This window comes from Homo sapiens, chromosome 9, assembly GCF_000001405.40.
Source record: "Homo sapiens chromosome 9, GRCh38.p14 Primary Assembly".
In the NCBI taxonomy this organism is placed as follows: Eukaryota; Metazoa; Chordata; class Mammalia; order Primates; family Hominidae; genus Homo; species Homo sapiens.
The window spans coordinates 130,353,749-130,368,912 of NC_000009.12; the positions used below are offsets into that span (position 1 = coordinate 130,353,749).

Here is a 15,164-nt window from a genome sequence, read left to right on the forward strand (position 1 = left end):
TGAACCTCAGCATCAGCTCAGCCCTGAGGGGCTTGGCTCTGGGGACTTTTGAAGGAGAACTCAGAGGAAAGGGTGTCGGTGGCTCTGGATGGGTCTGAGCAGGGCCCCGGTGAAGTGTGAGAGGGCAGCGTGCAAGCTGATAGGGGTCAGCCTGGCCCCCCGTGGGGAGTCACTTTGGGAGCTCTGGCTTCCAAAGATGCAAAGGGCTTGGGTACTGGAACCTCAAAGGGCAGCTGAGCTGCATGGGCTCCACGGCAGCCTCTGAAGATGGCCCCGCCGCTAGCTCAGGGAGTCTTATTTTGGGACCCGAGGTCCCCCAGGAAATGAAATAGAAAATGTGTATGTGTATGTTTTCATTAAATTTTCAAAGCGTCTTACACCCAAATAAGGTTAAGAAGCATCTCCCAGGCCACGGTTGCCCCTTGTGCCCTGGTAATGGCTTCATCAGCTCAGCAACTTGAGGGTCTCCTTGAGGGTAGGAGAGAAATTTCCCCTTTGGCGTGGCCACCATGGGCTCCAAGCATAGTTAACATCTGGTCCCCTTGGCCATCGCTGGCTAAGTTAGGAGCCCCCCAATCCAAGCCATCTGGGCTCAGGTCTGCCCCAGTCTTCTGCCTCCTGAGACCAGGGAGGGAGGGGACTTCCAGGAGCAGAGCTCTGTCCCGGCCCTGGGGGTCTTATTTGAGTCCAGCAGACACTGGACCTGCTGTGTATAGGCACTGGGGATGCAAGTAGGCCGGCCGTCTTTCCACTCATGCTGGGCTTGCCGGGGTAGCAGCGGGGATGGAGAGGCAACAGTCAGCACCCAGGGGTGGGGTGGCGCGCCCAGGGGCTGAGGAGGGTGAGAATGCTGCCCCGGGGTCTGAGCAAGGGGTTCAGCCACTGGAGGTGAGGGAAGGAAGTGTTTCACATGGAGTGGGGTCGGTGAGGGGCTTCAGCGGGCCTGTTGGGCTGAGATGAGAGCAGGCTAGCGTCCAGCTGTGGTCCCCAAGCCGCCCCCTGCCTCTTTTCCAGTCCCACCTACCATCGAGGGCGCCGGTGGAAGACCATACGTGGTGAAGGCTGTGGCTGGGAGGCCTGTGGCGCTGGAGTGCGTGGCCAGAGGCCACCCGTCCCCCACCCTCTCCTGGCACCACGAGGGGCTGCCCGTGGCAGAGAGCAACGAGTCGCGGCTGGAGACAGACGGGAGTGTGCTGAGGCTGGAGAGCCCGGGGGAGGCATCCAGTGGCCTGTACAGCTGTGTGGCCAGCAGTCCTGCCGGGGAAGCCGTCCTGCAGTACTCCGTGGAGGTTCAGGGTGAGCCCGGCCCACCCCACTCAGAGCTGCCTGGGCTGTGGACGTCTGCCCAGGCCTGCTGCGTGCTTGTCCCGAGAGAGCTCCTGGAGTGGAGGGAGGGTGGGGAGAAGTAACCAGTGTCCCCACATTGCATGACACAGATGAGGACGCTGAGGCCTGGGCTGTGGGGCCGGCAGGGCTAGGAGTGGGCAGGGTGGAGCCCCAGGATCAAGGGTCCCTGACTGTGCCCAGGACCCTGGGCTGGGTCACCCAGGACAGAGGACCTCGTTCTGCCTTCTGCCAATGGAATGGCCCTTTACGGAGACTTTCCTAAGGCCGGCTTGTGGGTATGGTCCCAGCAGGGCGGGTGGGGCCTTCGCCTGCTCTTCCATCCATTGCTGAAGCATCTCAGGTCCTAGTGCTGTGTTGACCCCAAGCGGCACTGGAAATGAAGCTGGGAACAAGGCCAACCGGACTCCTGAGCCCTCAGTCTGCCAGGGAGGCAGATGTTAAATAATTAGGCCCAAGCCTTTGGGGAGCCCGGGGTGTCCCCTTACCCGCCTTGGGTGGCCCTGGAAGGCCTCCTGGAGGAAGGGCCACTGATAGGGAGACGTGAGGGTGAGGTGCAGCTGGGCCTCGCTTGGAAGGCTCTGGGGACTTGGGAGGGTTTGAGGCCAGTGGCTGCTCAGCTCCAAACACCCAGGAGTGTGTTCTGCCTGCAGTGCCCCCACAGCTCCTGGTGGCTGAAGGCTTGGGACAGGTGACCACCATCGTGGGACAGCCCCTGGAACTTCCCTGCCAGGCCTCAGGCTCCCCAGTACCCACTATCCAGTGAGTCTGGGGTGGTGGAGGCCAGGGCTGGGGGTAGGCAGAGAGCGTGTGCTTTGCGGATTGTGGGGGGAAGTGGACAGGAGAGAGGCTTCCTGTTTCCAGGAGTAGGAAAGAGGCCTGGAGCCACGGCTGGTGAGAGCAGGTGGGAGGAACTTCTAGGTTTCCTGCTTGTCCTGCCTGGCCTGGCCTTCCCTGGTCTCAGGTTGACACGCCCCCCTCCCTACTCACCTTAGGTGGCTGCAGAATGGCCGCCCAGCCGAGGAGCTGGCTGGGGTGCAGGTGGCCTCGCAGGGGACCACACTGCACATTGACCATGTGGAGCTGGACCACTCAGGCCTCTTCGCCTGCCAGGCCACCAATGAGGCGGGCACTGCCGGGGCCGAGGTGGAGGTGTCTGTGCATGGTGAGTGGGCGCCTGGGGTTCTGGAGCTGTGGGCAGCCTGAGATGCCAGGGGTGGGTGGAGCCTGGGCTGTGGCAGGCCTGGAAGGGCACGGGGCTGGTCTTTGCTGGATGGCGTTTCTGGGCTGGACTTCCCAGTTCCCCACAGAGACGCAGGTGTGAGAGGCTGGCCGGGCCACTTATCACACTTATCCTCAGTCCTGACCAGCCCCTAGGCCTCACTCCTCTCCCCAGCTTCCTCTCTGTCCATCTGCTGAACTTCACTTAGTTCTTTTAATATATCAACCCTCTTTCTCTTGTCTTCGTCTACGTTTGCTGTTCCTTCTGCCCAGAACTTTCTCCCTCCTCTTTGCCTGCCTAGCTCCTTATCTTTCAGGCATATCCTGAAATACTTTTCCTCCAGGAAGCCTTCCTTGATTCTACCATGTTTCTCATCTGCACTGCCCAGCCTCTCAATGCCTTAGCCCTCCAACAACTACATTGGGATTGCTTATTTGGTTGTCCATCTCCACTGTCCACCTCTGTGAGCTTTGAGAGGGCAACATGGTAGCTGCCTTTCCCTGACTGTGTCCAGGGGCCCAGTATAGTTCTGGCCACAGAGTAGATGCTCAGCACACATAAGGATGCATGGATAGATCAGTGGGTGGGTGGATGGATGGGTGGGTGGATGAATGGGTTGGTGGATGAATGAGTGGACAGATAGAAGGGTGGATGGATGGATGGATGGAAAGGTGGAGGGATGGGTAGATAGATGGAAGCATGGGTGGATAGAAGGGTGGATGAATGGGTGGACAGATAGAAGGGAGGATGGATGGATGGATGGATGGATGGATGGATGGATGGAAAGGTGGATGGATGGGTAGATAGATGGAAGCATGGGTGGATAGAAGGGTGGATGGATGGGTAAATGGATAGATGGGTAAATGGATGGATGGGTGGATGGATGGATGGAAGGGCGGGTAGATGGATGAATGGGTGGGTGGGTGGATGGATGGAAGGGTGGGTAGATGGATGAATGGGTGGGTGGGTGGATGGATGAATGAGTGGGTAGATGGATGCATGGGTGGGTGGGTGGATGGATGAGTGGATGAATGGGGGAGTGGATGGAAGAGTGGGTAGATGGATGGATGGGTGGATGGATGGATGGAGGGATGGATGGATGGATGGAAGGGTGAGTGGATGGATGAGTGGATTGATGGATGGGTGGGTGGATGGATGGAAGGGTGAGTGGGTGGATGGCTAGCTGGATGGATTGGTAGATGATGGATGGGTGGGTGGATGGATGGAAGGATGGATAGACAGAAGGATAGGTAGATGAATAAATGCATGAATAGATGCATGGGTGCACAGATGGTTGGGAGAATTTTTAAAGAGAATAACTTCTCTGCTGGCTCCCAGTCTAGAGCTCTTTCCCCTAAGCCATGCGTCTAGGGGATATGGTGGGCAGAAGCTAGATGCTAGCCTTTGGCCAGCCCTTCAAGGGCACCTTCTCACCCCCAGGCATCGAGGGGGTTGCTGGGTGCCCACTGTACTCCTCCTGATTCTGACTCGGGCTCTTCCTGACTCTTTCCCTTCCCAGAGTTCCCATCGGTCAGTATCATTGGGGGTGAGAACATCACAGCTCCTTTCCTGCAGCCTGTGACCCTCCAGTGCATAGGGGATGGGGTGCCCACCCCAAGCCTCCGTTGGTGGAAGGATGGTGTAGCCCTGGCAGCCTTTGGGGGGAACCTACAGGTATGTGCAGGGGCCCCAGGGCTGGCAAGCCAGCTGGGCACAGGTGGAGGGGCTGCTCTGGGGGCTTCCTGGAGACTCTGAGCAAATCCCAGCAGGCTGGGCATAGGAAGGGCCCAGAGCCCTCTCAGCCTGAAAGGGTGAGCCTCAGCCTCTTCCGGGTCCTAGGAGCTTCAGTTGTCAGAGGGAGAAAATGTCAGTGGGGGGGACAGGGAATGGTATGCCTGGAGATCGGACGAATCCCTGGAATCCAAGTGCTTGGCTCATAACTCTACCTCCAGAGCCAAAAGTGTCCCCATGCCTCACTGCTCCTGCCCCCGGGCTCGGCAGCAGCCTGGCCACTCGCCATGTCCCGTCATCACTTGGACAGCCCTGTGGCATACTCTCTGCCCCCTCCCCTCCAGATTGAGAAGGTGGACCTGAGGGACGAGGGCATCTACACTTGTGCTGCTACCAACCTGGCTGGGGAGAGCAAGAGGGAAGTGGCGCTGAAAGTTTTGGGTGAGGACGTGGGTAACCAGCAGGGCCCAGGCCAGCATGTTGGGTGATCCCTTGGGGACCCTTGGGGCTGAAGTGTGTGGCGAGGGAGGGGGAGGAGGTTTTTCAGTCATAGTTGTGCACTTAACTTCAGAGGAAGTAGAAAGCCCTGAAATGAAAGTGTTAGCAATAGCTGTGTAGTCCCTTTTGGCGGGATTTTTTTTTTTTTGAGATGGAGTCTCGCTCTGTCGCCCAGGCTGGAGTGCAGTGGCACTATCTCGGCTCACCGCAAGCTCCGCCTGCCGGGTTCACGCCATTCTCCTGCCTCAGCCTCCCGAGCAGCTGGGGCTACAGGCACCCACCACCACGTCTGGCTAATTTTTTTGTATTTTTAGTAGCGACGGGGTTTCACCGTGTTGGCCAGGATGGTCTCGATCTCCTGACCTCGTGATCCGCCCGCCTCGGCCTCCCAAAGTGCTGGGATCACAGGCGTGAGCCACGGTGGGATTTTTAGTGGAAGACCTTGCCCACATTCATATTTACGTTTGCTTATTTTGGGGGTTTATTTGCAGGGAAATCCTCGTCCTTGTCCCTTCCCCTGGCTGTGCTGGCGTCGGCTGTCCTGGGGTGGGGGCTGGGTGCTGTATGATTGCCGTAAGGATGGCAGCCTGTTGCTCTTTGTTCTTGGGCTTGCTTCCAGGAGTGAGGTTGCTTAGTCTGAGGACATGAGCTGTTTTAGAGCCCTTAGTCTAGGATTTTCTATGGGGAGCAGGGAGCAGCACTGCTGGGATGGCTGGGATTAGAGCTGCCCAGAGCTTGCACCTACCAAGCTGGGTCTCTCCTTGTCTCCCCCTAGTGCCCCCCAACATCGAGCCAGGCCCAGTCAACAAGGCAGTGCTGGAAAATGCCTCAGTGACCTTGGAGTGTCTGGCTTCGGGCGTGCCCCCTCCTGGTAAGACCCCTCCTCTTGGCTGAAAGCTACTTCCAGCCCAATTTACTGTCTAATGAGGCTGGCGAGTGACCCAGGGACTCTCTGATTGGACATAATGGGGAGAAATCATCAGGTCTTTCCCCCCCGTTTCTCTCATGTTCCTCTCTTCCTCTTCAACAATGTCCTTCGGGCCAAGGCCATGTTAGGGTCCAGAGCCAGTGTGAAACAGGCCTGCAGGACATCTACTCACAGTAAGCTTCACAGGGCTGTCCGGGGCTAGGGGCGAGGATCAGGACCTCAGAGTCACCATCTGGTCTGTAGGGTCCTCCCCTCTAGACCAGAAGTGGAGGAAAGGGCCGGGAGCTGGGGGCTGGGTGTGGGTGTTTGCATAGGGGACTGGGTGAGGCTTACGGTGGCCCAGGAGGAAGGCCTCTCTCCTGCTCCCATCTGAACTAGGCCCACCCTGCTTTGCTTGTTGCCTGTGAGCCCTGGGGATATTTGCCCCCTCTCGTGGGGATGCCTGCTGAGTTCCGGGGACATGTCCCGGCAGGATGCAGGGAAGCTGCAGATACACGCGGTCCAGCCTGGCTTTGAGGCTGCTGCTTTGGGCTGGTCCATGTTCTCTAATGCCCCCTAGGGGACGGGGTCTTCTGGTAGGGGGAGGGCAGGGCTGAGTTTGACTCTCTCTGCTCCTGGCTGCCTCAGCCTCTGCCCACGGGGCTTCTTCTCCACCCTTGGTCCTGTCTTGGGCAACATTGCCCGGTTCCATCCCGGTTCCCTTTCCTGAATGAAGAACTCTGACCTTCTCCAATGCCTGAAAAAATAGTGTGGTCACCCTGGAAGTTTCTCTTGGGTGCCCACCACACCAGCAGAGTCTGACGGGCTGGCAGCACCCTTGCTTCTCTCTTCCATTCCCCCTTGCATCTCTCTTCCTTTCCCCCTTGCATCTCTCTTCCTTTCCCCCTTACTTCTCTCTTCCATTCCCCCTTGCTTCTCTCTTCCTTTCCCCCTTGCATCTCTCTTCCTTTCCCCAGATGTCTCCTGGTTCAAGGGCCACCAACCTGTCTCTTCATGGATGGGAGTGACAGTATCAGTGGATGGGAGAGTTCTCCGCATTGAGCAAGCCCAGCTTTCTGATGCTGGGAGCTACCGCTGTGTGGCATCCAATGTGGCAGGTAGCACAGAGCTGCGGTATGGCCTACGGGTCAATGGTGAGCTTCCCTGGGCCTACAAGGTCCCTTGTCCAAAAAGTTGTCTTTTCATTCATTTGTCTATTAGTCTGTCCATCCACCTGTCCACTCATCCATCCATCTACCACCCCATCCATCCGTTACCCCATCCATCCATCATCCATCCAACCATCCATCCATCCATCCATCCATCCATCCATCCATCCCACCCATCCATCCACCCATCCACCCCTCCATCCATCCACCCATCCACTCATCCACCTATCCACCCATCCATCCATCAACTCATCTATCCATCCATCCATCCATCCATCTCTCATCCATCCATTTATCCACCCAACCATCCTTTCATTCATTTATCTACCCACCTGTCTGCCCACCCATCCACCTGCCCATTTGTCTACCTGTCCACCCTCCCATCCACCCACCCATCTATCCATCCATCCATCTACTACCCATCTACCCATTCACCATCCATTCAGTCATTCAACTACCCATTCTTTCCTTGATCCATTTTCTATCCAACCACACTTATTGAGTCCATGCTCTGGGGCGGAGACTGGACCTAGAGCCCTAGATAAGACAGACCTAGGAGCTTTCAGTGTAGTGGAGGACACAGCAATCAGATCATTCCCCAGAGTACTACTTGATGTCAATTGTGATAGCAGCTGGTGAACATGAGGTGCAACGGAGCACCTATAACAGGGCACTGACTTGGCCTGTGGAGTCCAGGAGGCATCTTTGACACTTGGATACCTACACTGAGGTCTCTGCCAAGGCCTGAGGTTATGAAGATCTGGGGAATTTGAGAAACTGAAAGGAGGCCACGGGGCCTGGGATTTACAACACTGAGAAGAGGGCCAGGATGGTGCTGGTGGCCATATGGAGGCTGGACCTCTTGGGCCTCATGGGCCATGGGAGAGGTTGGTTCTAAGAGCAGTGGGTAGCTGGGCAGAGGCCTGGGACCCTGGGCATCATGGCTGGTGCCTCCCAGATACAATGGAATCTTCTGGCTATTTTCTGCCAAAAGGGGACTGCCTGTAATATGGTATTTCATCTCACACCCCTGAGTTAGGAAGTAGCACTGTCCAGGGACCCTTGGTCCCCTCCCCATCCCCATAATAAATGACCTTCTGCTGACCAGAGGCCTGAGTGCGAGTGCTGCTTCCTGGGTGGTCAGCCTTGGGCAGGTGACTTCCCCTCTGTCAGCCTCAGTTTCCCATCTATAGAAGCCTCATGGTGGTGTTGAAAGGATGGAAGTAGCAGCCTTGGGGGCAGTGGAGTGGCTCAGAGCCCGTGTCTGGATGGCTGTCCTTGTGCTTTTGCTGTGGCTGTGTGCTCCTGCAGGGGTGCCCAGCCAGGGGCCCTGCCTGCTTTGCCCCAGTGGGGCTCAGCCTGTACCCCATGTCACCCCTGCCCTGCAGTGCCCCCTCGAATCACACTGCCACCCAGCCTGCCAGGCCCTGTGTTGGTCAACACCCCTGTCCGGCTGACCTGCAATGCCACCGGTGCCCCCAGCCCCACACTGATGTGGCTGAAGGATGGAAACCCTGTGTCCCCTGCAGGGACCCCTGGCCTGCAGGTCAGTAGGGCTGGGTGGCCCCGGCTCAACCTCCCTGCACCTCCCGTAGATGCTGGGAACAGAGGTCAGGCCCTGGGAACTTAGGGTGAGGGAGAAGCAGCGATAGCCCAGGGCCGAGGGCTAGAGGGAGGTGGGACTGAACAGAGAGGCTGGAGCCACACTGCCCAATGGTAACGATACATTCCATGAACATGAACCACCTACATCATTGTAAATGTTCTTGTGGCCACAGTAAACTGAGTAAAAAGAAACAGGTGAGATCAATGTTAATAATACACGTTAGTTAATCCAATATATCCAAAATAGCTTCATTTCATCATGGGATCAATACAAAATAATTATTGAGATATTTTATATTCTTCTTTTCATATTAACTCTTTGAAGTCCGTGGCATATTTTGTACCTGGGGCCTCTCTCAATTTGGCCTGGCCACATTTCAAGGGCTCACTGGCCATGTGTGGCGAGTGGACAGAGGGGCTCTAGAGGACTCTTCCTGAGGTCCAGTGTCATTGCCAGCTGGCAGAGGTCCGGAGGCCCAGATGCAACCCTGGGTTTCCCTGCATCATGAGGGGCTCTGAGTCTGGGGCAGGCTGTCCAGGCGTGCTCGGCAGCAAGGCCGGCTTGGGCAGGTGGGGTTCTGCCCCTTGGGGCCTGCAACAGCAGGACAGTTGCCTAATTTGGGCTTCCCCCTGGGGTCACAGGTCTTCCCTGGGGGCCGGGTCCTCACCTTGGCTAGTGCCCGGGCCTCCGACTCTGGGAGGTACTCCTGCGTGGCTGTGAGCGCGGTGGGCGAGGACCGCCAGGATGTTGTCCTGCAAGTCCACAGTGAGTCTCAGACTGGGAAAGCCATGTGGTTCAGAGCAGCGGGGGAGATGGGGTGGGGGGCATTCCCAGTCACTTCCAAAAGGAGAGAGGCTGGGTGGATGGAGGAGTGTCCACCTGAGAACAGCTGCCTTCCAGTAGGAATCAGTGAGATCCAGAGACCTGCCCTAGAGTATGAGCTCCCGCAATGGGTGGGAGGGTGGGCAGGTGGCCCCGCATAGCCAGGAGCTCTGCCCCATGTTCAGGGAGACGCGGAAGGGGTGTGAAGTAGCAGGAACAGCGTGGAGTGGTGGTTAGGAAAGCCGGCTCTTGAGTGTCACCGACATGGGGTTCAAACCCTGCCTCTGTGACTTTGAGCTGGTCACTTTGCTTCTCTCGGCCACCATTTCTTCATCTGCAAAATGAGAAGAATAGCACTCACCTCAAAGGTCACCATGGGGACTCACTAAGCCTCTGAGCTCATGAAGCTACTGTAACCACAGTAGCTTATTTTTAAATGTCCTCCTCTGGGTTTTTCTGGGGCTCTGTGGAGGTATAAGAAAGAATGCTGGGAGCTGGGCATGGTGGCTCACGCCTGTAATCCCAGCACTTTGGGAGGCTGAGGTGGGTGGATCACTTGAGGTCAGGAGTTCGAGACCAGCCTGGCCAACGCAGTGAAACCCCGTCTCTACTAAAAATACAAAAAATTAGCTGGGTATGGTGGTGCGTGCCTGTAGTCCCAGCTACTCGAAAGGCTGAAGCAGGAGAATCACTTGAACCTGGGAGGTAGAGGTTGCAGTGAGCTGAGATCATGTCACTGCACTCCAGCCTGGGCAATAGAGCCAGACTCTGTCAAAAAAAAAAAAAAGAAAGAAAGAGAGAAAAAGAGAGAGAGAGAGAAGGAAGGAAGGAAAGAAGGAAGGAAGGAGAGAGGGAGAGAGAAAGAAAAAGAAAGGAAAAAGAGAAGGAAGGAAGGAAAGAGAAAGAAAAAAAGAGAAGGAAGGAAGGAAAGAAAGAAAGAGAAAGGAAGGAAGGAAAGAAAGAAAAAGAAAGAAAACGAATGAACGTAGTCTTGGGCGGGAGGTTATAGGAAGGATTCGATTCTAGCTCTTTCCCTTTGCTGGAGTGAAGATGGTGGTTAATACATATTGTATGCCCAAGAGCCCCACCTGTGCCATTGGATTGAACCTCATGGCGGCCCCATCAGGTGGGGATTTTCATTATCCCCACTTTACAGACGAGGAGACTGAGGCCCAGGAGTGCAAGTGGCATCCCCAGGGCCTCGCATGGCGAGTGAGTGGTGGAGGGCAGGATTCCACCCCATGAGTTCTCCCCCTGGACCCTGCGTTCCTTCCTGCAAAGCTGCACTGGTTATTTTTGCTTCAGGGGCAAAAGGTGGTTCTGAGACCTGCTTAAAAAAATTTTTTTAAACAAAAATTTTAAATTTTAGAAAGTTTTGAGATAACTGTGGATAATTATAGATTCACAGACATCTGTAAGAAATAACACAGGGGGACCCTGAGCTTCCTTCCCCAATTTCCCTCGGTGGAAACATGCTGCAGAGATCTGGGATGTGGATATCGTGACAATTTTACTCAGACTGGCTCCTCCGAAGCAGGACTGAAGGCAGAGGAAGGGTGGTCACTCCTGGCTGCTGCGAGTAGCTAGGCCTGACCCAGGGTGTGGCCCCTCCTTGCCAGCCCCACCCATGTGCCTGAGGGAGCCCTTCTCCTGCCCCCTCCTGCAGTGCCCCCGAGTATCCTTGGAGAAGAGCTGAATGTGTCCGTTGTGGCCAATGAGTCAGTGGCCCTGGAGTGCCAGAGCCACGCCATGCCCCCTCCTGTGCTGAGCTGGTGGAAGGACGGGCGGCCCCTGGAACCACGGCCTGGAGTCCACCTCTCCGCAGACAAAGCCTTGCTGCAGGTGTGCAGGCCCCTGGCCAGCCAAGCAGGCCTCCACCTCGGCCCAAGGGCAGGGTGGGGCCTGCAGGTGCCCCAGCTCAGTGACCTGCAAGCCCCTTTCCCCTCAGGGGATGGAGGACAAAACCCCAGGACTGGTTCCTCGGGGCCTCCCTCAGGGCCCCTGACTCAGCTGAGTGGCGCCAGCTGTTGGGTTAGAACCTTCCTCACCTGTCTGCTCCTCCTCCCACCCCCCTACACCTTGTGATATGATCATTCCCAACTCAGAGCACTGCCATTTGGTTTCCCCTCCTTCCGTTCATTCTTCAAAGCCACAGCCTAGCCCCAGCAACCCCATGTCAGGATCTGAGCCCTGAGGACAGGTCCCCTGCACCCCACCAGCCTCATTCCTCCACCTTCTCTTCGGGTCTGTTTTCTTGAGCTTTCCAAAGAGGCTGGGAGCTGATGAAATGCAGGAGCAGGTCTGAGCCAGTCACATGCCTCCCCCTTAGCAGATCTGGGCCATGAAGTTTGGGAGGCTGGCAGGACTGCCATCGAGGGGGCCCTTCTCAGGCCCACCACAGGCACGTGCTTCTGGAAACTTCCCGGTGCAGCTGGTGGGGAGATGCTGTCACTGCCCCGTGCTCCAAGTGGGCAGCTTGGGGGCTCAGCAAGGTCACGTGACATGTCTGCAGTCACACAGTCTGTCCAGGGCTCACCCATCTCTGTGCGTCCCCTCCCATGGGGTGTCTTTGCTCTCTGCCAGGTGGACAGAGCCGATGTGTGGGATGCGGGCCATTACACCTGTGAGGCACTGAACCAGGCCGGCCACTCAGAGAAACACTACAATCTGAACGTCTGGGGTGAGGGTCTCCCAGGCTGGGCAGGGGGAGGGGGCTGCTGCCTTGATTGCGTCCCAGGACACAGCCCTCCTCCAGCCTGCCCTCGCCTTGCTCATCCCCTCCCCATCTCAGCCCCACCCCCACTAACTCTCTCTCTGCTCTGACTCAGTTGCTCCAGTGTTCCCCTTGAGGGAATCCCACACCCTGACTGTGAGAGAGGGGCACCCTACCAGGCTGTCCTGCGAATGCCGGGGTGTCCCCTTCCCCAAGATCTCCTGGAGGAAGGACGGTAGGATTGCTGCCCTCACCCAGCCCCACCTCATTGCCAGGCACAAGGAGGCTATGCCCAGTCCCCACTGGTTACCCCCACCCCAGAGCCTAGCTGAGATGGGGGGGTCTTATACCTCGAGGGGGTGGGGATGCTGGTTACAGAAGTGGTGCTTCCCCCAGCTCCTCTCTACTCAGTCCCTGAGCCTGCAGGAGCCCCTGGTCCTGCTCTGCCAGTAAGAGCTGGATTGAACTTCAGGCCTCACTTCAGACGTCCCTTCTTCCAGGAAGCCCTCCCTGACTGCCAGGCTGGGACAGAGCCTCCCTGATGCAGTCCCTGTCACTTGTCATGTCACCCACATTAGTCTTTCTGTGTGTGCTCCTCCATTAGTCTGTGACCCCTGTGAGGCACCATGTTGACCACCGCTGAATTCCAAGTTCAGTGTATGGTACAAAAAAGATGCTCAAAAAACATTTGGAATTCACTTCACCAATTTTTTTTTTTTTTTTTTTTTTTTTTGCCAGGCTGGAGTGCAGTGGCACGATCTCAGCTCATTGCAACCTCCGCCTCCTGGGTTGGAGTGATTCTCCTGCCTCAGCCTCCTGAGTAGCTGGGATTACAGGCAGGTGCCACCATGCCCAGCTAATTTTTGTATTTTTAGTAGAGACAGGGTTTCACCATGTTGGCCAGGCTGGTCTCGAACTCCTGACCTCAGGTGATCTGCCACCTCAGCCTCCCAAAGTGCTGGGATTACAGGCATGAGCCACAGCACCCAGCCCATTTAACCAATATGTATTGAGAGACTGTACCAGGCCCTGTTCTAGGCACTGGAAATATAGCAGAGGATAAAACAGATCCCCACCCTCACAATGGGGGCAGTCAGATAATAAACACACAGTTAGTAAATGACTCTGTACCTTAGGTGATAAATGCTATGGAGAAAAATAAAGCTAGGAAGCGGGAAAGATGTTCTGGGGGGTTGTAGGATTTGCAGTTTTAAGTTGGGTGGCCAGGAATGCTCGACCAAGCGGACTTGAAAAGCTAAGGGCTGAACATGAGAATATCACAGGGAAATGCACCCCAGGCGGAGGTAAGGGTAAGTGCAAGGGTCCTGGGGCAGGAATGCTGGTTGGATGGGGGAATGAGAGGAGGCAGGGAATCAGGGATGATGGAGGAGAGTGGAGCTGCCATTACCGAGATGGGAGACCCCAGGGGCAGATATGGTGGAAAGACCTAGCGTTTGGGGTGAATTAATCTTGAGACATCTGCTAAATACCTAGTGAGGTGTCAAGTGGATGGTGAGAGACAGGTGTCTGGAGCTCAGAGGAGAGGTCTGGGCTAGGAAGCAGCCTGGGAGTAGCAAGACAAGCTGAGGTCACCAGGACAGAGAGGGAGGAAGCAATGCCAGGTGGCCACTGGGTCTGCTTCCCTGATGGGACATGCGTTGAGTCATGACCCAGCCCAGAGGTCTGCTTCTCTAGAAACAGAGGAGGAAGGGTTTAATCCAGTAGGTCGAGGTTGACAAATCCTCTTCCTCCAAGGGGTCTTCTTGATGCCAGGTCCACCAGTTGCCTGGTCACCCTCCTCAGGCCACTGTAGCTAAGTGGATGGTCGTTCCTTCAGTAGCCTTTATTGAGCCTTGCTGTGTGCCAGGCCCTGGGGAGCCACTAAGGATCCCAGGGGGAGGCTGGTCGCGGTGGCTCACACCTGTAATCCCAGCACTTTGGGAGGCCGAGGCAGTGGGTCACCTGAGGTCAGGAGTTAGAGACCAGCCTAACTAACATGGTGACACCCCGTCTCTACTAAAAAATACAAAAATTAGCAGGGCATGGTGGTGTGCACCTGTAATCCCAGCTACTCGGGATGCTGAGGCATGAGAATCACCTGAACCCAGGAGGCAGAGGTTGCAGTGAGCCGAGATGGTGGCACTGTACTCCAGCCTGGGCAACAGAGAGAGACTCTGTCTCAAAAAAAAAAAAAAAAAAAAAAGGGATCCCAGAAGGAAATTGAGGCAGAGTCTGCCATTCCGGAGGGCTCAGGCCAGAGTAGGATTCAGATGGGGCACCTGTAGGCAGATCTGTGATGCAGAGAAGCCTAGGGGGATGGGGGGAGTTCAGAAGAGGCACCAGGACCAGAAGTGGCACTCATGGAAGGCTTCCCGGAAGAGGTAGTGTCTAAATGGACACCTGAAGGATGAGCAGGAATTGGCAAGAATGGGTAGGAGGACAAACTTTCCATGTGGAAAGACATCACGTCCTTGCAAATGCCCTGGACCAGGAGTTTCTTTTTTCCTGCACCCAGGTCAACCCCTCCCCGGGGAGGGGGCTGGCCTCCAGCACGTGTCGGCTGTGGGGAGGCTGTTGTACCTGGGACAGGCCCAGCTGGCTCAGGAAGGAACATACACCTGTGAATGCAGCAACGTGGTGGGGAACAGCAGCCAGGACCTGCAGCTGGAGGTGCACGGTGGGTGAGCTGGGCGGGGGCTGGAAGGGTCTGGGATCATGGACTGGCTGGGCAGGCGCTGCCCTGAAATTGGAGCAAATACGGGGAAGTGATGGTGTGTGGTGCAGGCTTTCTCCTCCCTCACGTTCCTGGTGTGTGAGTCCGTTCTCACACTGCTCTAAAGACACTACCTGAGACTGGCTAATTTATAAACGAGAGGCTTAATTGACTCACAGTTCCACATGGCTGGGGAGGCCTCAGGAAACTCACAATCATGGCGGAAGATGAAGGGGAAGCAAGGCACGCCTTACATGTCGGCAGGAGAGAGAGAGAGCCAGGGGGGAAGCACCAGACACTTATCAAACAACCAGATCTCCTGAGAACTGACTCACTCACTCGCTATCAATCACAAGAACAGCATAGGGGAAACCGCCCAGATGATCCAATCACCTCCCACCAGGTCCCTCTCTCTGCACGTGGGGATTACAATTCGAGA

The 15,164-nt window shown here is 56.2% G+C and overlaps 1 protein-coding gene across 8 annotated transcripts in view, besides 1 other annotated feature; it reads left to right on the forward strand.

Annotated features, from left to right (window-relative positions):
- Positions 1 to 15,164, forward strand: part of HMCN2 (hemicentin 2) — a 168,364-nt gene that overhangs the window by 87,989 nt on the left and 65,211 nt on the right. For 7 of the 8 annotated variants that reach the window (NM_001291815.2, XM_011518466.3, XM_011518465.3 and 4 more), the window contains 13 exons: positions 1,015 to 1,296; positions 1,998 to 2,106; positions 2,340 to 2,509; positions 4,086 to 4,240; positions 4,642 to 4,738; positions 5,571 to 5,666; positions 6,680 to 6,856; positions 8,260 to 8,417; positions 9,119 to 9,242; positions 10,966 to 11,141; positions 11,883 to 11,979; positions 12,128 to 12,247; positions 14,528 to 14,689. In NM_001291815.2, the coding sequence (NP_001278744.1) occupies positions 1,015 to 1,296; positions 1,998 to 2,106; positions 2,340 to 2,509; positions 4,086 to 4,240; positions 4,642 to 4,738; positions 5,571 to 5,666; positions 6,680 to 6,856; positions 8,260 to 8,417; positions 9,119 to 9,242; positions 10,966 to 11,141; positions 11,883 to 11,979; positions 12,128 to 12,247; positions 14,528 to 14,689 (1,923 nt within the window). The remainder of the gene's footprint in view (positions 1 to 1,014; positions 1,297 to 1,997; positions 2,107 to 2,339; positions 2,510 to 4,085; positions 4,241 to 4,641; positions 4,739 to 5,570; positions 5,667 to 6,679; positions 6,857 to 8,259; positions 8,418 to 9,118; positions 9,243 to 10,965; positions 11,142 to 11,882; positions 11,980 to 12,127; positions 12,248 to 14,527; positions 14,690 to 15,164) is intronic. The other variant, XM_011518467.3, reaches the window with a different exon arrangement.
- Positions 5,136 to 5,907: an enhancer, noted in NCBI's record as "H3K27ac-H3K4me1 hESC enhancer chr9:133234271-133235042 (GRCh37/hg19 assembly coordinates)". NCBI's record gives its function as "activates a minimal SCP1, AML or CMV promoter by ChIP-STARR-seq in primed H9 embryonic stem cells {active_cell/tissue: H9 hESC(primed)}" and the evidence as "EXISTENCE:reporter gene assay evidence [ECO:0000049][PMID:30033119]".